The sequence below is a fragment of the Homo sapiens genome, chromosome X, assembly GCF_000001405.40.
Source record: "Homo sapiens chromosome X, GRCh38.p14 Primary Assembly".
Taxonomy (NCBI): domain Eukaryota; kingdom Metazoa; phylum Chordata; class Mammalia; order Primates; family Hominidae; genus Homo; species Homo sapiens.
In genome coordinates this window covers 54336958-54363932 of record NC_000023.11, presented here as the reverse complement: position 1 = coordinate 54363932, position 26975 = coordinate 54336958, and the positions used below count along the sequence as shown (strand labels likewise).

Here is a 26975-nt window from a genome sequence, read left to right as displayed (position 1 = left end):
CATGAACCACCGCGCCCGTCCTATTGCTTTTAATTTCTCTGTCTTCCTCACCCTCTTCCCCCACCCCGACCCAGGTTTTATTGTTTTAGGGGAAGGGATGTGGCAAGAGACTAAGAGCAGATTTTACTTGCCCATCTCTTTGTTTTTGTGTTTCAAAAGCCGAAGTCCTTAGTGGAAGAGGGTCAGGGTGTAGTCAAATTGTCTTGGCCAGAAAATATAAAGGGAGAATGATTTTATCCACCCTAAACAGAGATTCTAGTCCCTCCTACCCCCTAGGTCTGAGGATAATATAATGCTATCAGGGAGATCCTTGGGTTCCAGGTAGAAAGGACCTGTGTTCTGCTTCCTGGCACCATCCCTGGGTAGACAGCAAAACGTGAGAGAACAGAGGCTGTTCTAGGCAACTTTAACAAAAATTCCCAAGTCACTGGGAGGGACCCAGTGTAACAAGGGCCTGCTAGACCATAAAGGAACACTGTGGGAAGAGGCAATGGACCTCTGACTGCTAACCTGTGTGGCCACATAGCTAAAATTTTTTTTTCATTGCCCAGACTGGTCTTGAACTCCTGAGCTCAAGCAATCCTCCTGCCTCAGCCTCTCAAAGTGCTGAGATGACAGGCTTGAGCCACTGTGCCTGGCTATGATTAAGGATTTAATGGACCTCTGTTCCCAGGTCTTAGCACTGCGGCTTGAACCTGAGATGGAGGAACATCAAGAATAATATAGGTTATTTTCCAACCCCAAGGAATAGGGGATATTGGAGTCCAAAGTTAAATGGAATCATAGACAATAAAGACAGATGCAACAAAAAATGTTTAAGAGCATGGACTCTTTACTAAACTAACTGGGTTCAAATTCTAGCTCTGAAACTTACTTGCTGTGTTACTATGAGCAAGTTATTTAACTTCTTTGTGCCTTGGTTTACTAATTTAAAAACTGGTGTTAATAATGGCACTTACCTCATAGGATTCAATGGGCTTGTATAAAGCGCATAGTAAATGCTATTGGATTATTAGCCGACATTATTATTATTGTTGTTATTACTATTATTATTATACACCTTAGTAGGGAGACTACAATTCATACCTGCTACATGAAGGATTTGTGACAAGACTGTTTTGAAAGACTACTACAGACTATTGGAATAGATCCAGAGAGTCCATGGAAGGAATGGAGGGAGAGGAAGGAAAGGCAGGTCAGCAAATGAAGCCTGGTTAGTTAGCCCAGCAGACTGAAGTTTCTGATTCTCAAAAGAATATACTATGTCAGACTGTACATTTCTTAAAGAACTGATCTTATTCTGGAGAGGGAGGGGCTGTTACAGCAACCCCAACTCAGGCTCTGTAGTCTGGCCACATGGGAATTTTGCAGAGGAGTTAAGATCTTGGACACTTTGCAAGTTTTAGAGAAGTGATGTGGGCTTAGTCATTTGTAGGCATTCTGAGAGTCAGTTGTCAAGGCACAGACATTTACCTTAAGATTGCTCCCTGATGGCTGGGCGCAGTGGCTCAAGCCTGTAATCCCAGCCTCAGTTCGAGTTCGTCAGGAGTTTGAGACCATCCTGACCAGCAAGGTGAAACCCCGTCTCTACTAATATAAAAATTAGCCGGGGGTGGTGGCACGTACCTGTAATCCCAGCTACTCTGGAGGCTGAGGCAGGAGAATCGCTTGAACCCGGGAGGCGGAAGTTGCAGTGAGCCAAGATTGCACCACTGAACTCCAGCCTGGGCGACAGAGCAAGACTCTGTCTCAAAAATAAATAAATAAATAAATAAATTGCCCCCTGACGTATGCTCTGGGCACATGTGGAAAGACTGCATCTAGGAAGAAGAAACTAGACCAATAGCAAGGCTGGAGAAATTGCATTATCCAGCCTGAAACGTGGAGTGTTTCTAAGTCAGTCGCTAAGCCAAAGATAGCTGTTCACTTCTGAGTATGCCCTTACTCAAGGAATACTCAACTTGTGCTGGGAGGAAAGAGAACCTTCTGGGAGGACATTAATAACCCTTAGATGATCCTGGTGAGAAATTCCCCTAGTGGAAAGACTTGGCTGGAGAAAAGATCACCCAGACATCCAAGCCCTGGGAGTTACTGCCTTGAACAGAGGCACCTGGATGAGAAGTACACTTTCCCTTGCTGGGATGCTAAGATTTAATAGAAGGAGAATGTGGCTCAGTATTATCTAGAGAATATAATATATTTTTTTTCTTTCCTGTATTTTTCTTTTTCTCTACCTGTCTCTGCCCCCAAAATAACATAGCTTTGTGGTGTACCTCAGGGGAGGGAGGTGGCAAGGCAGTAAAACAAATACTCTGCCACTCTTTCTGGTTTCTGTGTTTCCAAAACATAAGTCCTTAAGCAAGGGGTATTAGGGTGTAGGGGCAGAGACCAAGTATCTGGGCCAGAAAACTAGAAGAAAGAGTTGCACAAACCTAAAAAATGATTCTTCTCTTCCTCACTCCCCTCTCCTTGCGAGAAAGAGACAACAAGAGCAGAGAGAGATCTCTGTGGGAGCTCAAGCAGCATTGATTAGCCTCAGCTTCCCAGGAGCAACACCTAGCTGATGGGGAAGACTCAAGAGAGGAAGAGCTGTGTGGAATGTCTAGGTAGATGGCCCAATATCTATTGGGACTTCGGGAAAAATTCTGTGCCCCATGTCGCAGAGACATTGGAGAGGACCACAGCACTGGAAAGGACCCATGTGGGCAGAGGGCTCAGCACAAACTGCCAGGATCTAAATAACTAGAAGCAGATATCCTTACTCCACTCCCACTTACACCCATGCCTGGACATTACCTAAGATCCCCAAACTGTGGTATCACTTGGGTTAAGGGAAATGAACATCAAGAATGATGGACATTGTTTACCTCCCCGCCCCAATAACCTGGTTAAAAAGAGGGCACCGGGTCAGAAATTAAGTTCCAGAAACAGTCACAACTCTACCCATGGTTGCAGTGGTCAGCTAACTACAAACTTTGAGGTTCATTTCAGCTCCATCTTGTTGACTGAAGGAGTTACCATCCTGTGTGGTAGGAAAGAGACCAACAGATAGTAGGGCCATGAAACTAACCTCCTACCCCCACTCCTGTGGGATTTTGGGGTTTAAAAATGATTCCAGTTAAATTTTTTGTAATTTATTGGCACCGGAGCCTCTAGAAAAAAATGAATTAGATTATTGGAAGGATGATTTCCTGGAACAATGTAAAACCAAACTACAAATAGTTAATATAAATCAAAATTTCTGTTTGATGAGTAGGAACATTGCAAATGTCACTTGAGAGTCAGTGGAAACCAGTGGGTAGGAAGGGAATGTTCCCTGTCATACCTTGGTGATTAGCTAGAATTGCCCGCTCCCCTTTCTGCCTACAGTGGCATTTGTGCTGAGTTACAGACCAGATTGTCCCAAACAGAAGAGCACATATGTCAATAAAAGGTCTAAATTGAGAAGGACCTGTATTTGGATGGGGAGCCGACTTGTTTGATTTTCAAATTTCTAAAGGTCATAAAAGTCACTCTACTCAATAGCTTTTTTTTTTTTTAACAAGTATTCAACTATCAAAGAGGTACTGCTCAAAAGAATTAACATCTAAGCAGATTGAAGGGCTAACATTTCCAAGTGTTGTTCTTTATTCATTACCTACATCATCAGGCTCAGAGACAAGGGAAGAGGAGCAGGTCACAACTGAGCTAGATGCCTTTTCATGAAGGTGATGTGTGTGGCAGTGGTGGGAATAGGGTGACACTGAGAAACAGAAACGGTGGCCACAAGTTTCTAGTTGCCATCTCATGGGAGTCAGGACCTACAAAGACTTGGGATAAACTGGTAACCTTTGAAACTTTGAAATTGCCCCTTACTGGTTGTTCAGCTACTCTTCCTCTGTTTTTCCTACACTAGTCAACCAATCAACAGGGAAAAGGGACTATCTTCAGGGACAGTGAGGAAAGGAGCGTGGGAGACCCCATCCATTTTTCAGCTAATTGAGACTTCAGAGACTCTTAAGGTAGAATGGTGAAGCTATTTGGAGAAACCACACCTTGCTCTTTCAAATCGGCCAGGAAGGAAGATCTCCACCATTCTAGTGGCTGGACCTCATAGCCCTATTGTTTCCTCAGCATCTCCCTCCGTTGTCAAAACGGAAAGATGGGAGTTTGAATGTATTAAGGGCATGGTCCGGTTTCCTTACATATTCTGGCAATATGGAAATTAATAAGGAAGGGACAGAGGCAAGAGATAGGGCTACAAGGCCTCCCATCATTATACTCACCCCCCCCTTACAAAGTCAAAGATAAACCATTACACTTTATTTGGACTTTGGAAACCTGAGTTAAATGTATTGATTGTGCTGTTTTAAAGAGCTGAAAAAGACTGAGATTTCTGAGGCCTACAGCAGGAAAAGAAAAATAGGTAGTGGAGAAGGGATAACTCAGTGATAGGGCCGAGGCTGGAGGGCTGAAAGCATTAGTCAGATATTTCCCACACAGCCTCCTAGCTTGAGGGGCATTCGAAAAGAATGCCCTGCCCTTTAGCTGCGCCACCAGATGACTCCCGGGAGATTGAAAAATGCCTCGGCTCTGGAGTGAGCACACCTGGGTTCAAGTTCTAACTCCACAAATAGTATGAAGTTGAGCAATTCATGTCCATTTCCCCTCCTGAGCCTCAATTTCCTCCTCTGTCGGGCCGGGATTATTCATGGGAGAATGACGGAAACAATTCTATACTGCTTCTGGCATAGCACAGGAAGCAGTTTGAAGCCGCTGCGCCGAGGCTAACATGTACCGAAAGCTCGAAGGAGGCAGCATTCACTACCAGCTAGAGGATCTGGGAGTTTTTCAAGGAGGTGGCCGGTGGGAGACACAGAGAGCCAGTCTCAGTGGGAGGCAGCCTTTCCGCATGCGCGCGCTCTAGAAGCCTGGCGGCGGCGAGGGGGCGGGACCAGGTCTCTGAAGGGGTTGCTATGGCACCAAGGGGCCGAGGAGGTTCACCGAACCCTTAAAACCATTGCTCCCTCCCCCACCTGCCACCATCAGGGCCGAGGGCCATTGTTCCCGGCAAAATGGCGTCGGAAATCCCCCTCCCGGTCAGAGGCCTAAGTAAAACTGAGGGTGGGAGTCGGACCATAGGTGGGAAGAAAAACTACAATTCCCAGGGTACATCGCACCCGTCTGCGAGGCGCAGGGCACGTGCCCAGGCCTAGCGGTTACATGCCGTCAAAAATCAGTTTCATAGCTTCCCTTTCCCATCCCTGCTTTGGTCGTTTCCCAGCCCCCGCGCGCGCGCACTGCGGTCCTGGGGGGCGGGGGAGACATGCCGTGGCTGTTGCCCCCGCAACGTAACTGGGAGGCCAGTATTTGTAAATCGGTGCTTCGACTTCTAATCCCAAAGCCGGCAGGTATGGGTCTCGCGAGAAATCCCGGGAGTTGGAAAAAGGGAGTCAGGGGTGGCGGGCGAAAAGGTGCCGGCGGGTACCACCTCCTAACAGCGGCGCTACAGCATTCAGAGGCTCGCGGAGACCCAAGGGTGGGCAGTGGGGGGCTAGGAAGTAGTGTGTGCTTGGACTTTTCTTCTTCTTCTTCTTCTCTGAGGGGAGAGGGTAGAGCAGCTGAGAGAGAGCGAGAGCGCTTCGGAACACACAGGAGATGTCGCGCGTGCTTCCTCTAAGAGATTTTCTCTTTGGAATGGGGAGAAGCCTTTCTCCTCGACGCGCATCCCTCTCTCCCGCGGCGCCGAGGGGGGCGGGAGGCGTGCGCGCACTCTAGTTGGCTGGCCACTCGGCACCTCGCTGCGATAGGGGCGGTTCCGAGTTGGGGCTGCTCCGTTGGCTTTCTCCGCCCCTCCCCCTCTTCTGTTCTCCCCTCCCTTCCCCGCCCCCCCTCCGCCCCTCTCTCCTACCCGTCCGAATTCCCTGGCTGGAGTACGCGTGCGTCTGCTCAGCTCCGGGCCGAGCGCGAGCTTGGGCTCGTACCCCGCTCCCCTCTCTCCGCCCGCTCTTTACCTACCGGCCGTAGCTGGCCCGGTGGGCTCGCGGGGAGACGCTCGCGCGCGCAAGCGCACACGACGCGGAGCGGAGCTCGAGACATCGAGGAGAGGAGTAAGAAGCATCGGAGGAGGCGATCGAGGAGGAGGCGGTGTGTGTGTATGTGTCTATTCTACGGTGTGGCTCGTCGTGGGGCGAGAGGAGGCTCGAGAGAGGGCGAGGGAGAAGCGAAAAGAGTAAGAGAGTCTTCCTTTGCGAGAGCCTCTAATCTGGTGAGGGTCCCGGGCCGGCCGGGGCGCTAGGAGAGAGGGAGGAGGCCGGGGGGCGTGTCTGGGATCGGGCTGAGAGATGAATGGGCCAGGGATGAATGGAGGGAGGCAGCGGCGGCCAAGAGTCTGTTAGGAGTAAGCGCCCTAGCGGGGGGCGGCTTGACCGAAGCAGGGTGAGTGCCTTCACCAGTCGGTACCGGACGAGGCCGGGCTCCGGGCTAAGGGGCTGTCGAAACTGCTGAATAGGCGGAGAGGAAAATGAACAGGGGGAAAGTGGGGAAGGGCAGGTTTGAGGCTGAGGTGCGTTTTTTGTTTTGTTTTCTTTTTTGTTTTTGATTTTTTTTTTGGTTGTTGTTGAGGGGTGACAACTTTGGGAGCTGATGGAAGACCAGGGGACGGGGAAGGTGAGGAGGATACAGGAGGGGGACAGGAGACGGTTGACAAAGGACTGAGTGATCACTTAAGTGAGATTGAAGCTACTGAAAGGGAAGATCGCTTCGGGTGTGGGAAGTTCAGTTGTATTGATGGGAATAGGATGAAGGAAAGAGTAGATTTATTTCAGAGGTTCAGCTGATGTGTGAGGGACAGGATGGGGTGAGAAATATTGCTGGCTTGTGTAAATGTGTTAGGCTCAAGGAGATTCTGAGGTGTTATTTGGGAAGGGGTGGTGTGTGTTGTGTGACTGACAGGTTGGGGATGGGGAGGAGATGGTATGATAGGTGAGGATGAAAGTGGTGAGGTGGCTTCACTGTACTGAAAGAGGTTTTGTTTGACTAGTTAAAAGTGGTGAAACATTTATATAATGGGGTGGGGGTGGAAATCCTGCACGTGAGTATCTCCGTATCTTGGGGGTTGAGAGACTGTTAAAATGAGACTGAACCCTCAAAACAGATGCGAATAGTATGGCTATTTTTTCTTAAGAGTTACTGTTGATTGAGACAATTATATGAATAAAACAGCTTTTGAGTTGTGAAAATCTTCTGCATAGTAGTGATTGTATCCAATTTTTGGAGATACCGTTATCTGTTTTTCATCTATAGTAAGTTGTAATACCAAGAGAACTTTTGAAGAGGTCTTAGTATGTGACAGAGCAGCGGGTGTCTTTTAAGACGGTCTCTATCCTTTGGATTGATGAGTTTAAAAATTGTTTAAACTCGACAGCTCAAGGGAAAGATACCTTGCATTAAAGGATAGCAAAAATGCACTAAAGCTTAGCCGGGCGTGGTGGAGCGTGCCTGTAATCCCAGCTACTTGGGAGGCTGAGGCAGAAGAATCTCTTGAACCTGGGAGGCAGAGGTTGCAGCTAGCCAAGATTGTGCCACTGCACTCTAGCCTGGGCGACAGAGCGAGACTCTGTCTTAAAAAATCCACTAAAGCTGACTTTGAACTAAAATAATTGTACATTTTTTTTGGTCATTACGAATTTATCTTTGAAAATTGGCACTCGCTTTTTGGTGTGAGTTTAAATTACAACAGATTACGTGAACATTTTGTTCTCTGAATACTTATCTTCTGATAAGGATGTCTTGTCCTGGTCTCATTCTGTTCTGGGTCAAGATTAACGGTTATGGATTTTAATCTTTTGTGATTATTTTTTACACATTTTACTGATATATATTTAGTTTTCTTGGAAATGTTGCAAACTTGAGAACATTCCCATGCTGTTTTTCTTTTATTCTGCTTTGATATTGGAAAGAGTGTAATCCTTGTTTAGGCTACCCGCAGTTTGAATACAAAAGGTCATATTCTGTTCATAGTCTCTCAGATTGAGATGAATACTTAATGTATTAAATAGTACAGTAGAAGTATAAAGGCACTGTAAGAGCCTGGAAATGTTGCACTAACTCAACCAGGCAAGGCGGCCTCCCAGTTTTGAACTAGATGTTTCTAGATGAAGGACATTCACATTTTGGGTCTTGAAAGTGTAAGCATGGTATATTTGGAGAATGGAATGAGATAAGGCTGGAATCTTAGGTTGAGGCTGGGGTGAATTAGGAACTCTTGATTGTTTAAGAAGGGGAATAACATAAACAGATTTATGGTGTTTCTCTCTCTGCCTTTGCTTCTGATGTCCCCCTCTACCTGGAATGCTCTCTCTCCCCCTCCCCTAGAATTTGAACTCATTCTTTTAAAACTTAACATTTGTCACCAGCTATTCCTGAAAGCCTTTCCTGGTTTCCCTTTCTTCCTTTTCCCAGCATCCTCCACCAAGCTAGGTTAGGTCCCCCTCTTTAGAGTTCTATCATACCTTGTACATAATTTTATTACGGTACTTTGGTTGGGAGGCAGGTAGGAAAGGTATTTTTCTCCTTCTATCTGAAAAAGAAATGAAGCCCAGAAAAACAAGACATGCCCTAGTAAGTGGTGAACCCCGGAGTTCTGACTTCTAGACCATTGTTGATCTTCATATCACAAGTTTACATTTGCTTAAATAATTATAGTTTTAGGAGTTAGATTTCTGTAGTGTTGACTTAACTTTCTTCCATAGAGTTTTGTTTTTACTATATTGTTCATTGCTGAGCCGGTAAATGATAAAGCCAGTGGCTGCAAAGAACCAGAGTAGGCAGAAGTAAAGAAAATAATGGATATTATTATTATTATTTTTTAGAGGGAGTCTCGCTCTGTCACCCAGGCTGGAGTGCAGTGGCGTGATCTTGGCTTACTGCAACCTCCGCCTCCCAGGTTCAAGCAATTCTCCTGCCTCAGCCTCCCTAGTAGCTGGGATTACAGGCACGTGGCACCATGCCTGGCTTATTTTTGTATTTTTAGTAGAGATGGGGTTGCCCCATGTTGGCCAGGCTGGTCTCAAACTCCTGACCTCAAGTGATCCGCCCGCCTCGGCCTCCCAAAGTGCTGGGATTACAGGCATGGGCCCGCTATCAGATTTCTAGTCAGATAATTGAAATAAAAATAATTAACAGAGGGCCTAATTTTTTTTATTTTTAAATAATACTTATTAGCATATTTAACTGATTTTTAAAAAAATAATTATTTTATTATTTTTTAAGTTCCGGGGTACATGTGCAGGATGTGCAGGTTTGTCACACAGATAAACGCGTGCCATGGTGGTTTGCTGCACCTATCAACCCATCACCCAGCTATTAAGCCCAGCATGAGTTGGCTCTTTTCCCTAGTACTCTCCCCTCCTTCCGCCTCCCTGACAGGCCACAGTTAACTGTTGTTCCTGGAGGGCTTAAATTTTTTGTGTATGTTTTCGTGGGGAAGGAATTGTGTATAAGGAAAAAAACCCCTCCTTTCTCAGTCTCTCAATATAAGTAGACCAGCTCTATTTACAGATATACTCGATTTTGTCTCTTGGCCAAAAGCCAGAATTCTTTCAAACGAGTGGGTCTTTTCCACCTTTGTTTGAGATCATAACATTTATGATGCCGTTAGGAGATATTTGATGACTGAAAGACATCTATAAGACATTCATTCAGAAATTTTAAAGCTTTAAAAGTAGAATTGATACAATTTTTAATTGTTTTGATAGAGCTTGTTATGAGATTTGGTTTGGCAAATGTTGAGATTGACTCACTACAGAAATGAGCTTTGATGCCCTTTCAGGGATATATTTTTCTCGTGAATCTTTTTTTTTTTTTTGAGACAGAGTTTTGCTCTGTCACCCAGGCTGGAGTGCAGTGGTGCGATCTCAGCTCACTGCAACCTCTGCCTCCCAGGTTCAAGCTATTCTCCTGCCTCACTCAGCCTCCCGAGGAACTGGGATTATAGGTGCATGCCACCACGCCTGGCTAATTTTTGTATTTTTGGTATAGATGGGGTTTCACCATATTGGCCAGGCTGGTCTCGAACTCTTGACCTTGTGATCCACCTTCCTCGGCCTCCCAAAGTGCTGGGATTACAGGTGTGAGCCACTGTGCCTGGCTGAAAGAAATGAAGTACATTGTTTTCTGTGTTTTAGCATGGTAACTTTTTTTTTTTGAGAGGGAGTCTCCCTCTGTCACCCAGGCTGGAGTGCAATGGTGCGATCTCAGCTCACTGCAACCTCTGCCTCCTGAGTTCAAATGATTCTCCTGCCTTAGCCTCCCGAGTAGCTGGAATAACAGGTGCCCGCCACTACGCCCGGCTAATTTTTGTATTTTTAGAAGAGACGGGGTTTCACAATGTTAGCCAGGCTGGTAGCATAGTAACTTTTAAAAATTGTGATAAAATTCATGTAATACAAACTTACCATTTTAACCATTTTATTTTATTTTATTTTATTTATTTGGAGATGGAGTCTCTCTCTGTCACCCAGGCTGGAGTGCAATGGCACGATCTTGGCTCACTGTAACCTCTGCCTCCTGTGTTCAAGTGATTCTCCTGCCTCAGCATCCCGAATAGCTGGGATTACAGGCATGCACCACCATGCCTGGCTAATTTTTGTATTTTAGTAGAGACAGGGTTTCTCCATGTTGGTCAGGCTGGTCTCCAACTCCTGACCTCAGGTGATCCGCCTGTCTTGACTTCCCAAAGAGCTGGGATTACAAGTATGAGCCACTGCGCCTGGCCCCATTTTAACCATTTTAAAGTGTACAGTTGTACAGTGGCATTAGGTAACTTCACAATGTTGTGCAGCTAACACCACCTCAAAAGGAAATTCTGTTCCCAGTAAGCAGTCACTCCCCATTGTCCCTTCCTCCAAGTCCCAGGTGACCATTAATGTTTGTCTATTCTGCATATTTCACATAAATGGAATCATATAATATATGACCTTTTGTGTCTGGCTTTCACTCAGCATGTTTTTGAGATTCATCTGTGTTATGGCATGTAACATTACTTTATTCCTTTTTATGGCTGAGTATTATTCCTTTGTATGGATATACCGTATTTTGTTTATCCATTTATCAGTTCATAGATATTTGGGATGTTTCCACCTTTTGGCTTTTGTGAATAGTGCTGCTATGAATATTTGTATACAAGTTTTTGTTTGAATACCTGTTTTCATTTATTTTGGGTATACCTAGGAGCGCAACTGCTAGGTCATATATAATCCTATGTTATGTTTTGTTTTGAGACAGGGCTCTGTTGCCCAGGCTGGAGTACAGTGGCATGATCATGGCTTAGTGCAGTTTCAACCACCCAGGCTGAGGCAATCTTCCCACCTCAGCCTCCTGAGTAGCTGGGACTATAGGTGTGTGTCACCACGCCCCACACCAGGCTAATTTTTTACATTTGGTAGAGACAAGGTCTCCCTGTGTTGCCTGGGCTGGTCATAAACTCCTGAGCTCAAGTGATCCTCCTGCCTTAGCCTCTCAAAGTATGGGGGTTACAGGCATGAACCACTGTGCCTGGCCCTATGTTTAACTTGTTGAGAAACCACCAAACCGTTTTCCATAGCAGTTGCACCAATTTTCATTGCCATCAGCCATGTATGAGGGTTCCATTTCTCCACATCCTCACCAACACTTGTTGCTTTCTGTTTTTTACTTGTTTTTTAAAAAATTATTTTTATTTATTTTTCTTTCTAAATAGCCATCATAATGGTATGAACTGGTATCTCATTGTGGTTTTGAATTGTATTTCCCTAATGATGTTGGGCATCTTCTCATGGCGTGTTGACTATTTGTATTTCTTCTTTGGAGAGATGTCTATTTAAGTTCTTTGCTCATTAAAAAATTTGGTTGTTTGTCTTTTTATTGTTGAGTTTTAAGAGTTTTTTAAAAAATATACAGTCTAGATACTAGACCCTAATCAGATATGTGATTTGCAAAGTTTCTTCCATTCCATGAATTGTCTTTCTGCTTTATTTTATTGTTTTGTTTTGTTTTGTTTTTGAGATGCAGTCTCACTCTGTCACCCAGGCTGGAGTGCAGTGGTGAGATCTCGGCTCACTGCAACATCCACCTCCCAGGTTCAAGCAATTCTTGTGCCTCAGCCTCCCGAGTTGCTGGGACTACAGGTGCGTGCCACCACGCCCAACTAGTTTTTGTATTTTTGGTAGAGGTGGGGTTTTGCCATGTTAGCCAGGCTGGTCTCGAACTCCTGACCTCAGATGATCCACCCGCCTTGGCCTCCCAAAGGTCTAGAATTACAGACGTGAGCCACTGCACCCAGCCAGTATTTTATTTTATTGTAAAAATAGAGATAAGGTCTTGCTATGTTGCCCAAGCTGGTCTCAAACTCCTGAGCTTAAGTGATCCTCCCGCCTCAGCCTCCCAAAGTGTTGGGATTACAGGTATGAGCCACCGCACCTGGCCTTTTTAACTGACTCTTTTGTACAGATTGTTAATGGGCAACTCTTCTTTAAAGGATTAAAGTAATATAGCATTAGATTAAAACGCCTTTTAACCCAACTTCCTGTCCTCCCATAGATAACCATTTGTTAAGAGTTGGTTCCATGGTTGCCAAAATAAGGATGAAAGAAAAAAAAAAAAGAGTTGGTTGTGGAATAGTTATAGTCCTTTTTTCTCTGTATTTGCATGCATATGTTTGTACATATACAAATAACAAGTATGTGATATATATTTTATGACTTTTCTCCCGAAGAGTGTCACTTAGGGCTCTTTTCATATCAGTATTTATATGTTCACTTCATTCTTTTTGATTGATACATAGTATTTCTTCCTGTGTGCTTCTCTAGCTTTGACTACTAGGGTCAGTTTAGAGTATGTCTTTCTAGCCTTTTTTATATGCATTCACCCATATATGAGTACATTTAGAAATACATAGTTTTGTGGGTTTTTTTTTAACACAAATAGTATGTAGATGTAATATACATGTTGTACTACAACTTACTTTTCTCACCTTATAGTATATATATGTAGGAGATTTTTATATATCAGTATATATCCATCTTGCATTTTTTAAACAGATGCTTATTATTTCACAGTATGGACGTACCATGTTTATTTCAGCATTCTCCTATAGATGGATATTTAAGTTCTTTTCAGGTTGATTTTGTTTGTTTGTTTGTTTTGCTATTTAAAACAATGTTTCAGTTTAAAAAAGCCCTGTACCTACATATTTGTTCACATGCAGGAATATTTCTCAAGTGATACTACTAAGGATTGGAATTGCTGGGTGACAGTTATGCACTAGATACTTGGAATTTGCCCTATGAAAAGGCTATTCCAGTTTAGCTGCCAACAATGCATGGAATACCAAATTTCTTATACAATTCTCAAACTTAACAGATATTTATTTTTTGCATCCTGATAGATGAAAAATGGTACTGAATCATTTGAGTTTGTACCCCTCTGTTTACTAATGAGTTTGAGTAATCCCCTTACCATACATGTATTGGCCACTTGTACTTACTTTTCTTTTTTTTTTTTTTGAGACAGAGTCTCATTCTGTCACCCAGGCTGGAGTGCAGTGGCACAGTCTCGGCTCACTGCAAGCTCCACCTCGTGGGTTCACGCCGTTCTCCTGCCTCAGCCTCCCGAGTAGCTGGGACTATAGGTGCCCGCCACCACGCCTGGCTAACTTTTTTGTATTTTTAGTAGAGACGGGGTTTCACCATGTTAGCCAGGATGGTCTTGATCTCCTGACCTCGTGATCAGCCTGCCTCAGCCTCCCAAAGTGCTGGGATTACAGGCGTGAGCCACCGCACCTGGCCTATGTTTAGCTTTTAAGTCCACATGGAATTTATTTTTGTGACTGGTTTTTGGTAGGGCTTTAGCTTACCACTCCTCAAAATTGATAACCAGTTATCCCAACACAACTTATTATACTACCTGTTCTTCACAAATTTGAAATGCCATTTTTACCATAGACTGCATTCCTATACATACATGTGTTTGTTTCTGTACTAGTTCTATTTCATTAGTTCATTTGTCTATTTTAAATTAAATTTTTTATTTTTTAAAGGTGGGATCTTGTTCTCTTGACTAGGCTGGAGTGCAGTGGCATGGTCATAGTTCACTGCAGCCTTCAACTCCTAAGGCTCACAAGATTCTCCTGGCCTAGTGTCCCATGCCACCATGCCAGCTAAGCTAATTTGTCTGTTTCTGTGCTAAAACCACATTGTTTAACTTACTATAACTATATGTTACTATCTGGTAAGGCAAGTTCTTGTTGTTCTTTATCAAGATTTTCTTGGCTTTCCTTCTACTCTTTAGAGGATCAGCTTGTCAGTTTCAGACAAAAACATCTCTTTGGGATTTTGATTGAAATTGCATTGATTTTGGAATAATAGTGGGGGGAGGGGAATTGTGAAGATGTTGATATTGGGTCTTTCCATCAAGGAACATGGTGTAGTTTGTGTATTTCAGTAAAATTTCATGGTTTTCTTTATGTAGGTGTTGTATATTTCTTCTTGAGTTTGTTCCTAGACTAGTATTTTATAGCTTTGTTGCTCTTATGAACAGGATAATTGTTTTTGTTTGTTTGTTTGTTTGTTTGTTTTTGAGATGGAGTCTTGCTCTGTCACCCAGGCTGGAGTGCAGTGGCACGATCTCGGCTCACTGCAACCTCCGCCTCCCTGGTTCAAGCAATTTTCCTGCCTCAGTCTCCTGAGTAGCTGGGACTGCAGGCGTGCGCCACCATGCCTGGCTAATTTTTTTGTATTTTTAGTGGAGACGGGGTTTTGCCATGTTGGCCAGGCTGGCCTTGAGCTCCTGACCTCAGGTGATCCACCTGTCTGGGCCTCCCAACGTGCTGGGATTACAGGCATGAGCCACTGTGCCTGGTCGATAGTTGTTTTTTCAAATTACATTTTGTAATGATTACTGAGATATATGGCAGATTTCTGTATGTTGATTTTGTCTTTGGCCTGTTTGCTGAACTCTTGTTAGTTCCTTGTTAGTTATAGTTTTTTAGTTGATTTTCTTGGATTTTCTAGATAGATAATCATGTAGTCTGCAAGTTTTGAGTTTTGTCTCCTACTTTCTAACATGTGTAGGTCTTGTTTTATTTCCTCAGTTGGTAGTAGGAAATCTTGGCTTATTCCTGACTTTAACGATTGTTTATGTGAAAGATACTTGCCCTCATGTGTAGGATAAATGCTAATTGAAACCACACTGAGATTCCTTGCTTAAACTTATCAGAGTGTTAAAAATCAAAATGTTTGATAACACTCTTTGTTGTCAAGACTCTGGGGTAAAAGACACTCATACGTTGGAGGTAGGAGTTTAAATTGGTACATTGCCCATGGAAGGCAATTTGGCAGCATTATATAAAGATACACATGTATTACATACATTATTTTGGATATATTAGTATACTTAAATAAATAAAAGTTTAAAAAATAAATATGCAAATTTCCTTTGATCTTGGCAGGGCACAGTGGCTCACACCTGTAATCCCAGCACTTTGGGGAGGCCGAGGCCAGCGGATCACCTGAGCCCAGGAGACCAGCCTGGCCAACATGGTGAAACCTCGTCTCTACTGAAAATACAAAAATTAGCCAGGCATGGTGGCGTGCGCCTGTAATCCCAGCTACTCTGGAGGCTGAGGCAGGAGAATTGCTTGAACCCGGGAGGTGGAGGTTGCAGTAAGCTGAGATCACGCCACTGCACTCCAGCCTGGATGACAGAGCGAGACTGTCTTAAAAAAAAAATTTCCTTTGATCTAGCAATTCTAGTTCAGGGATACACACACACACACACACACACACACACATATATACAATGAAATCTACAATGTTATTTATAATAGCAAACAATTGCATACTACAAAATAAGAATGAGAAACTTATATGTACTGAAAAGGAAAAACATGTATCTTAAGTTACTATGACTATAAAAAGAGCTTGGTGTGTACTGTGTTCCTTTTTGTGTAGATAGTGAAGGAGAGAACATATATTTGTTAATTTGCCTAAAGAGATTCTGGAGGAATACACAAGAATCTGTTGAGTGGTTACCTGTTGATGGGGCAAATGGAATTGAATGGAAGGGAGATAGAGTTGGGAATGAGCCTGCCCTTTATAAACCTCTTTACTTGATATTTGAGCCACATGATTGTATTATGTATATGTATATGTACATGTGTATATATATAATATAGTACATACATTGTGTTTTATATATATATATGTGTATATATATATGTGTATATATATATATGTGTATATATATATATGTCTTTTATTTTTTTTGAGACGGGGTCTCACTCGGTCACCCAGGCTGGAGTGTAGTGGCACAATCACTGCTAACTGCAGCCTCAACCTCCCAGGCTCAAGCAATCCTCCTACTTCAGCCTCCCAAGTAGCTGGGACTACAGGCGCATACTACATGCCTGGCTATTTATTTTTTATTTTTTGAGATGGAGTCTCGCTCTGTTGCCCAGGCTGGAGTGCAGTGGCGCTATCTTGGCTCACTGTAACCTCTGCCTCCGGGGTTCAAGTGATTCTCCTGCCTCAGCCTCCTGAGTAGCTGGGATCATAGGCACATGCCACCACGCCCAGCTAATTTTTGTATTTTTAGTAGAGACGAGGTTTCGCTGTGTTGGTCAGGCTGGTGTCGAACTCTTGACCTCAGGTGATCCACCCACCTTGGCCTCCCAAAGTGGTGGGATTATAGGCGTGAGCCACTGTGCCCAGCCACGGTTGTCTTTATATATATTCCTAGGGCTTAGATAAGTGTATTTATCATTTTATGAAGGAAAAATGGCTACATGTAGGTAATTATATATAACTGTGAACTTAGTAAGAGACTCCAGGTTTGAGGCCTGATTTTTGTAAACTTTTTCACTGGGCCATGTTTCTACATTGCTGAATGTAGAAGAGATATTATCCTGGTCACTGGAGCATATCCCTTTGGCAATGCCAACATGGTTCATTACTGAAAAACTTTAGAAAATATATGGTTTTCTGCCTTCCTAAATAGAATCTCCTGAAAATCATTTAATGTTTTCTGGAGTATTGTTGAATAGTACTTTAATATAGTGCTGTCCCTAGGGGTTTTTGAGACATAGAAAATAAAAGCTTGCATTTATTGATTATTATATTGTGCCTGGCACTGTGCTAAATATTTTATATGTGTATTTTCATATTGGTCCTGTGAGACTTCACAAATGCAATGAAGAATGATTGAGGTTAACTAATTTGCCCGAAATCTCTTCCAAGGATTGAAAGGCAGAACTTTGATTCCAGATTTCTCCCACTCCAGGGCATGTGTTCTTTTTTTTTTTTTTTTTTTTTGAGACAGAGTCTCACTCTGTGATCCAGGCTGGAGTACAGTGGTGTGATCACAGCTCACTGCAGCCTCAACCTCCCTGGGCTCAGGTGATCGTCCCCACCTCAGCTTCTCAAGTAGCGGGGACTACAGGCGCACAATACCACACCCAGCTAATTTTTTATTTTTTGTAGAGACAGGGTTTTGCCATGTTGTCCAGGCTGGTCTTGAACTCCTGAGCTCAAGCAATCTGCCAGCCTCAGTCTCCCCAGGTGCTGGGATTATTACAGGCGTGAGCCACCACTCCCGGCCGACCGAGCCTGTGTTCTTTTTTTTTTTTTTTTTTTTTTTTGGCTGATCAGCTAATTTTGAATTCCAAAATAATAAGTTCACAAAAGCTATTATTAATGAAAATATTCAACACCCAAGGTGATTTACAAAGTTTAACTGAGATACTATCTTGTTCCCAGAACATTTATAAACACAACATATATATATATATACACACACATATGTGTGTGTGTATATATATATATCATTGAGTTAAATTTATATATTGAAAATAGGAATATAAGATATAAAAATAAAAAACACAAAGGTTTAAGTGAAAGTTTTTGTAATTATATATTTATATTGGGATTGCAAGATGAATATAATGCTATTTATTTTATTCTTTTCTTTCTGAATTTATAGGGCTTGGAAGTATTTTACACAGAAAACGATCTGTGTTCTGACATTTCCCTAAAGTTCTTTGAACCTCAAGATAGAGATGATCTCTATTTTTATACTGCCATGTAAATAGGTTTGGTGCTCACCCTTCGTTGTTTTCTTTTTTTTTTTTTTTTTGATACTGAGTCTCACTCTGTCGCCCAGGCTGGAGTGCAGTGGCGCGATCTTGGCTCATTGCAACCTCTGCCTCCTGGCCTCAAGCGATTCTCGTGCCTCAGCCTCCCGAGTAGCTGGGACTACAGGCATGTGCCACCATGTCCGGCTAATTTTGTTTTTGTATTTTTAGTAGAGATGGGGTTTCTATTCATATGAAGGTAGTTCAACTCCTAAGGATCTGGGATAGGAAATAAGAGAAGAAAAATGCTGTTTCTAGAATCGCCTCTTTGTGGTTCTAATTTCTTCTCATCAGTACCTATAATTGCCAAAATAATATTTTTAAAACTCTGGGAAATATGAATTCACTTTGGTAATAGTTCATTCCGAGTATGTTTTAATAACTCTAGATAAATATATTTAAATGCCCTTATATTTTAACATCCACCAAATTAAATGGATTTTGAAGAATCCACTCAAATACATACATACATACATACATACATACATACATACATACATACATATATATATAGTTGTTGTTGTTGTTGTTGTTGTTGTTGTTGTTGAGACAGAGTCTCCCTTTGTTCCCCAGGCTGGAGTGCAGTGGCACAATCTCGGCTCACTGCAAGCTCCGCCTCCCGGGTTCACACCATTCTCCTGCCTCAGCCTCCCGAGTAGCTGGGACTACAGGCGCCGGCCACAGCTAATTTTTTGTATTTTTAGTAGAGACGGGGTTTCACCGTGTTAGCCAGGATGATCTGGACCTCCTGACCTCGTGATCCGCCCGCCTCGGCCTCCCAGAGTGCTGGGATTACAGGCGGGAGCCACCGCGCCCGGCCTCAAAATTTTTTTTTTTTTTTTTTGAGAGGGAGTCTCGCTCTGTCGCCCAGGCTGGAATGCAGTGGCACGATCTCCGCTCACTGCAAGCTCCACCTCCCGGGTTCACGCCATTCTCCCACCTCAGCCTCACGAGTAGCTGGGACTACAGACGCTCGCCACCACGCCCGGCTAAAATTTTGTATTTTTAGTAGAGACGGGGTTTGACCGTGTTAGCCAGGATGGTCTTGATCTCCTGACCTCGTGTTCCACCCATCTCGGCCTCCCAAAGTGCTGGGATTACAGGCGTGAGCCACCGCGCCCAGGCGCCCGGCCTCAAATATTTTTATGTTTAGTCAGGTCTTATATTAGTTTATGAGAACCAAGACTCAGTTTTGTACTACAAGGCAGTGAGTTATTCATATGTTTGTGATCATTGATTGTGGTCAGAACCACAAAGCTGAAAGACTGCAAAAGGAACATGTGAACCTTCTATGCTCAATATACTGACTTTGGAGTGGAATTTGCTTTTTCTTTTTTTTTTTTCTTTTGAGACGGAGTCTCGCTCTGTCACCCAGGCTGGAGTGCAGTGGCGCGATCTGGGCTCACTGCAAGCTCCGCCTCCCAGGTTCACGCCATTCTGCCTCAGCCTCCGGAGTAGCTGGGACTACAGGCGCCCGCCACGACGCCCGGCTAATTTTTTGTATTTTTAGTAGAGACGGGGTTTCATCGTGTTAGCCAGGATGGTCTCGATCTCCTGACCTCGTGATCCGCCTGCCTCGGCCTCCCAAAGTGCTGGAATTACAGGCGTAAGCCACTGCGCCCAGCCAGAATTTGCTTTTAATTAATGTTATTTCCTTAGTTTTTCATGGAAAATGTGAATTTTCCCACCTTTGCCAGAGAAAATACTTATATTTTTATATTGAAGCCCAAAGTTTTTTTTATTAAGTTGCAAGGCTAAATTAAATTATTCTAATTTACAAAGTTGCTAGATAAATAGAATGGAATTATCTTTAAAAGTGGATTTTGGGGACAGGCATGGTGGCCCATGACTGTCATCCCAGCACTTTGGGAGGCCAAGGAGGGAGAATCTCTTGAGCCCAGGAGTTTGAGAGGAGCCGGGGCAATGTGGCTTGACCTCATCTCTACAAAAAAAATTAAAAATTAGGAGTTTGGTGGCACGTGCCTGTAGTCCCAGCTACTCAAAAGGCTGAAGTCGGAGGATCGCTTAAGCCTGGGAGGTCAAGGCTGCAGTGAACCGTGATCACACCACTGCAATTAAGCCTGGGCGACAGAGTGAGACCCTGTCTCAAAAAAAAAAAGTGGATATTGGGATTTAAAAATATGGAACGCTTCACGAATTTGCATGTCATCCTTGTGCAGGGGCCGTGCTAATCTTCTCTGTATCATTCCAATTTTAGTATATATGCTGCCAAAACAAGCACGAGCCTGTGTTTTTTGTTTGTTTGTTTGTTTTTGTTTTTTGAGATGGAGTCTTGCTCTGTTGCTCAGGCTGGAGTGCAGTGGTGCGATCTTGGCTCTCTGCAACCTCCACCTCCCGGGTTCAAGCAATTCTCTGCCTCAGCCTCCCGAGTAGTTGGGATTACAGGCGCCTGCCACCATGCTCGGCTAATTTTTGTATTTTTAGTAAAGACGGGGTTTCATCAGCTTGGCCAGGCTGATCTTGAACTCCTGACCTCGTGATCCACCCTCCTCGGCCTCCCAAAGTGCTAGGATTACAGGCATGAGCCACCGCGCCCGGCTGAGCCTGTGTTCTTAAACTGTTTTATGGTGAAGATCCACGATGGCCCCACATATACCATAGTCAAGAAACTATTGAGGCCTGGCATGGTGACTCATGCCTATAATCCCAGCACTTTGGGAGGGTGATGAAGGCAGATTGCTTGAGCCCAGGAGTTTGAGACTAGCCAGTGCAACATGGCAAAACCCTGTCTCTACAAAAAAATACAAAAAGTTAGCTAGGTGTGGAGGCTCACGCCTGTAGTCCCAGCTACTCGGGATGCTGAGGTGGGAGGACCACTTGATCCCAGGGAGGTCAAGGCTGCAGGAAGCCATGATTGCTCCACTGCACTCCATCCTGGGTAACAGAGTGAGGCCCTATCTCAAAAAAAAGAAAAAAAGGAAGCTATTTGAATCCACGATGGCCCCAGATACGTTATACTTAGTGAAGTTCTTGGCCTAGTTTTTCTTATTCGTTGTTTACCTTTAGGTCACCAGCTATTACATTTTATTGTTGTCAGGCCTTTACTTTCTCCTGGGATTCTTAACCCAGGAGGCCAGGCTAAAGATGAGAGTGGACACAATGAGGGGTGGGAGGGTAAGTATAGTTTTTAAAAGGCATATTTGATAATGTGATGGTTTTGATTTTCATCAAAATGTTTTGCTTTCAGATTTTTTTTTTTTTGAGACAGATTTCACTCTTGTCACCCAGGCTGGAGTGCAATGGCACTATCTTGGCTCACCGCAACCTCTGCCTCCTGGGTTCAAGTGATTCTCCTGCCTCAGCCTCCCAAGTAGCTGGAATTACAGGTGCCCGCCACCACGCCCAGCTAATTTTTGTATTTTTAGTAAAGACAGGGTTTCACCATGTTGGCTAGGCTGGTCTGGAACTCCTGACCACAGGTGATTGCCCACCTTGGCCTCCCAGAGTTCTGGGATTACAGGCATGTACCACCACGCCCAGCCATATTTAAAAAAAATTTTTTTTATAGGCAGAATCTCTCTCTGTCACCCAGGCTGGAGTGCAATGTTGCAATCATGGCTCACTCTAGCCTCCTGGGATCAAGTGATCCTCCCACCTCTGCCTCCTTAGTAGCTGGGACTATAGGCGTGGACCACCGTGCCCAGCTTATTTTTTTTAATTTTGTTTTTTGTAGAGACAGGGTCTCCCTGTGTTGCCCAGGCTGGTCTCAAACTCTTGGGCTCAAGCTATCCTTCTGCCTCAGCAACTCCCGCCCCAAATACTGGGAGTACAGGTGTTAGCCACTGGCCCTGGCCAGGACATCATATTTTATTGAGATACAATTTATATAACATAGACTTTACAAATATAATATAAAAGTCAATGATTTTCAGTAAATTTATAGAGTTGTAAAATCTTGATTACAACTCAATTTTAGTTCATTACCATCATCCCTGAAAGATTGCTTGTGCTTATTTGCAGTCAATCCTGTTCCTATGCCCCAGCCCCAACCACTAATCTATTTTCTGTTTCTGTAGTTTTGTATTTTCTGGACATTTCATATAAATGAAATCATATAGTATGCAGTCTTTTCCTCTGACGTCTTTCGCTTAGCATAATGTCTTCATGGTTCATCCTTGTTGTAGCATATATCAATACTCCATTCCTTTTTTTTTATTATTTTTTATTTTTAGAGATGGGACCTCGCTATATTGCCCAGGGTAGCAGGCAGTGGCTATTCATGGGCATGATCATAGCACACTGCAGCCTTGAACTTCTGGGCTCAAGTGATCCTCCCACCTCAGCCTCCTGGGTAACTGAGATTATAGGTGTGTGCCACCACACCTGACACCATTCGTTTTTATTGCCCAGTAATATTCTTTTTTTTTTTTGAGATGGAGCTTCACTCTTTCGCCCAGGTTGGAGTGAAGTGGCGCCATCTTGGCTCGCTGCAACCTCTGCCCCCTGGGTTCAAGCGATTTTCCTGCCTCAGCCTCCTGAGTAGCTGGGATTCTAGGTACCCACTACCACGCCTGGCTAATTTTTGTATTTTTAGTAGAGATGGGGTTTCACCATGTTGGCCAGGCTGGTCTCGAACTCCTGACCTCAAATGATTCACCTACCTCGGCTTCCCAAAGTGCTAGGATTACAGGTGTGAGCCACTGTGCCCAGCCTTCCCATTAATATTCTATTACACCTAATACATTTTGTTTATCCATTCATCAGTTGATAGACATTTGGATTGTTTCCACCTTTGGGTATTGTGAATAGTGCTGCTATGAACACTTGTACAAGTTTTTGTGTGGACATATGTTTTCATTTCTCTTAGGTAGATGATATCATATGGTAACTCTGTTTAACTTACTGAGGAACTGCCAGACTGTGTTCCAAAGCAGCTGTACCATTTTACATTCCCACTAGCAGTGTATGAGGGTTCTGTTTTCTTCATGTGCTTGTCAACACTTGTTACTGTCTTTTTTTATTGTAGGGTATGAAGTGGCATTTCATTGTGGTTTTGATTTGCATTTCCACAATAAGTAATGATGTGGAACAACTTTTTATGTGTTTATTGGTCTTTTGGATTTCTTCTTTATAGAAATGTCTATTCAGATCTTTTGCCTATTTTAAAATTGGATTATTTGTCTTGTCATTATTGGGTTCTTTTTTTTTTTTATTTTTACTCAGGGTCCCACTCTGTCACCAAGGCTGGAGTGCAGTGGTGCGATCTCAGCTTACTGCAATCTCCACCTCCCAGGCTCAAGCGATTCTCCTGCCTCAGCCTTCTGAGTAGCTAGGATTACAGGCGTGCGCCACTACTGCCCGGCTAATTTTTGTATTTTTAGTAGAGATGGGGTTTCACCATGTTGGCCAGGCTGGTCTTGAACTCCTGATCTCAAATGATCCACCCGCCTCAGCCTCCCAGAGTGCTGGGATTACAGGTGTGAGCCAATGCACCCGGCCATTATTGAGTTCTTGATATAGTTTGATACCATCCCCTATCACATATATGATTTGGCACATACTTTCTCCTCCCCTGTAGGTTGTCTTCACCTCTTTCTTGAAGGTATCCTTTGAAGCACAAAAGTTTAAAATTTTGATGAGGTGAAGCTTCTCTGTTTTTTTGGTTTTTTGTTTTTTTGAGACTGAGTCTTATTCTGTTACCCAGGCTGGAGTGCAGAGGCGTGATCTCGGCTCACTGTAACCTCTGCTTCCCAGGTTCAAGCGATTCTTGTGCCTCAGCCTCCTGAGTAGCTGGGATTACGGGCACATGCCACCATGCCTGGCTAATTTTTGTATTTTTAGTAGAGATGGGTTTTCACCATGTTGGCTAGGCTGGTCTCAAACTCCTGACCTCAAGTGATCCACCTGCCTTGGACTCCCAAACAGAGGCGTGAGCCACCGCGCCCAGCCGAGGTGCAGCTTCTTAATTTTCTCTTTTATGCTTGTGGTTTTAGTGTTGTGGCTGGGAATTGTCTGACCCGAGTTACTGAGATTTACTCCAATGTTTTCTTCTAAAAGTTTTATAGTTTTAGCTTTTGTATTTAGGACTGTGATCCACTTTAAATTTCTGTGTATGGTACGAGGTCGGGGTCCAGCTTCATTCTTTTGCATGTGGATTGCAGTTATGCCACAAGTTTGGTTGAAATAACTGTTCTTTTCCTATTGAATGGTCTTAACCTCTGTATTGAAAATCAATTGACCATAAATGTTACGGCTTTTAGACTCTCAGTTCTATTGACCTATATGTCTGTCCTTACCCTGTTGTTCATTTCTAATTTATTCATTTTTGGTAGGAGAGCATGCTTTGTATGATTTCAATCTCTTTAAATTTGTTGAGATTTGTTTTATTGCATAGCATATGATTTTTTTTTCAGAGAATGTTCTATGTGTGCTTGAAAAGAATGTCTATTTTGCTATTGTTGGGTGAAGTGTTCTGTAGATGTCACTTAGGTCAAGTTGGTTGATAGTATTGACCAAGTTTTCCATATACTTGTTGATTTTCTGTCTAGTTACTCTCTCCATTATTGAGAGTGGGGTATTGAAATCTTTTGCTATTACTGAATTATCTATTTCTCCAGTTTTGTCAGTTTTTATTAAATGTATTTTGGGACTCTGTTGTTAGATGCGTTTATGGTATATTGTCTTGATGAATTAACTTTTATCCACGTAAAATGCCCCTCCTTTTCTCTAGTAACATATTTTTGTCTTAGGGTACTGGTTTTTAAAAGACTGAGGGAAGATTTCTTTCTTCATCCTTCTTATTTGCTTCTTTTTTTTTTTTTTTTTGAGACAGAGTCTTGCTCTGTCACCCAGGCTGGAGTGCAGTGGCATGGTCTTGGCTCACTGCAGCCTCTGCCTCCCAGATTCAAGCTATTCTCATGCCTCAGCCTCCCGAGCAGCTGGGATTATAGGCACGTACCACCACACCCGGCTAATTTTTGTATTTTTAATATAAATGGGGTTTCACCATGTTGGCCAGTGTGGTCTCAAACTCCTGACCTCAGGTGATCCACCCACCTCAGCCTCCCAAAGTGCTGGGTTTACAAGTGTGAGCCACCACGCCCAGGTCTTATTTGCTTCTTATCCTATACTTTGGGAAGCCAGGTGTTAGAATTATTATACCAGAGCACCAGTACTTGCCACTCCTCTATTATATTAGGGGTCTGAATAAGATTTTATTTTGTTTTTTATTTTAATTAATTAATTTTTTTTGAGACAGAGTCTCACTCTGTCACCCAGGTTGGACTGTAGTGGCTTACTGCAGCCTCAACTTCCCAGGCTCAGGTGATCCTCCCACCTCAGCCTCCCCGGTAGCTAAGACTACAGGTGCATGCCACCATGCCTGGCTAAGTATTTTTTTTTTTTTTAAACAGGTTCTTGCTCTGTCGCCCAGGCTGGAATGTGGTGACGTGATCTTGGCTCACTGCAACCTCTGCATTCTGGGTTCAAGCGATTCTTGAGCTTCAGCCTCCCAAGTAGCTGGGATTACAAGCATACACAACCACACCTGGCTAATTTTTGTATTTTTCAGTAGAGACGGGGTTTCACCATGTTGGCCAGGCTGGTCTAGAACTTCTGACCTCAGGTAACCGGCCTGCCCTGGCCTCCCAAAATGCTGGGATTATAGGTGTGAGCCACCGTGCCCAGCCCAGCCTATTGTTTTTAAATTAAAAAAAAATTTTCCCAACACCATGGACCTGAAGGCAAAGTTTTTTTTGTTTTGTTTTGAGACAAGGTCTCTGTCACCCAGGCTAGAGTGCAGTGGCTCTGTCAATCTTACTACAACCTTGTCCTCCTGGGCTCAAGGGATCCTCCTGCCTCAGCCTCCTGGAGTTTGGGCTACAGGCACATGCCAACATACCCAGCTAATTTTGTAATTTTTTTGTAGAGATGGGGTCTTGCCATGTTGCCCAGGCTGGTCTCAAACTCCTGGGCTCAAGCAATCCTCCCTCCTTGGCCTCCCAAATTCCTGGGATTATAAGCATGAGCTACTGTGTCTGGCCAAAGATTTTATTTTATTTTATTTATTTTTGAGACAGGGTCTCACTCAGTCACCCAGTCCTGAGTGCAGTGGTGTGATCTCGGCTCACGACAACCTCTGCCTCCTGGGTTCAAGCTATTCTTGTGCCTCAGCCTCCTGAGTACCTGGGATTGCAGGCGTAATCCATTGCACCTGGCCTCAAATATTTTATTTATTTATTTATTTATTTATTTATTTATTTATTTATTTGAGACTAGTCTCGCTCTGTCGCCCAGGCTAGCGTGCAGTGGCGCAATCTCGGCTCTCTGCAACCTCTGCCTCCCGGGTTCAAGCAATTCTCTGCCTCAGCCTCTGAGTAGCTGAGATTACAGGCACCCGCCACCACACTCAGCTAATTTTTGTATTTTTAGTAGAGATGAGGTTTCACCATCTTGGCCAGGCTGGTCTTGGAACTCCTGACCTCATGATCCACCCACCTTGGCCTCCCAAAGTGCTGGGATTACAGGCGTGAGCCACCGCACCCAGCCAAAGATTTTATTTTTTTTAAATAGGTTCTGTAGTAAAAAAAATTTTGAAGGCTTTCCAACTTAAATTCTCTGGCTTAACTATTTTTGGCTCCTTGCTTAGATGCCCTTTTGTCTAACTTGTGGAGTTTTGCTCTTGAGGTTTAAAATCTCACCTAAAATGTTTAACATTTGGGGAACGTCGGTGAATACTGGATTCTTTTTATGCTCTTGCAGGTTTTTTTTTCCCAAGTCAAAAATTATTTCAGAATAAAGAGTTAAACTAGTTAACTTTTTTTCACTTGCATACAATACTAGTCTTATTAAGTGACTTTGGAAGTGATTT

General features: G+C 43.5%; 1 protein-coding gene and 1 pseudogene across 22 annotated transcripts in view; one reads left to right on the top strand and one right to left on the bottom strand.

Annotated features, from left to right (window-relative positions):
• Positions 5033-26975, top strand: part of WNK3 (WNK lysine deficient protein kinase 3) — a 166078-nt gene continuing 144135 nt past the window's right edge. For 5 of the 22 annotated variants that reach the window (NM_001395166.1, XM_011530802.3, XM_017029745.2 and 2 more), the window contains exon 1: positions 5887-6134. The gene's annotated coding sequence lies outside the window, so the exon portion shown is untranslated. Of the gene's footprint in view, positions 5391-5420; positions 5519-5886; positions 6248-26975 lie in introns of those variants that run through there. The other 17 variants (XM_047442381.1, XM_047442378.1, XM_017029743.2 and 14 more) reach the window with 6 other exon arrangements.
• On the bottom strand, positions 20281-20387 carry RNU6-434P (RNA, U6 small nuclear 434, pseudogene; annotated as a pseudogene).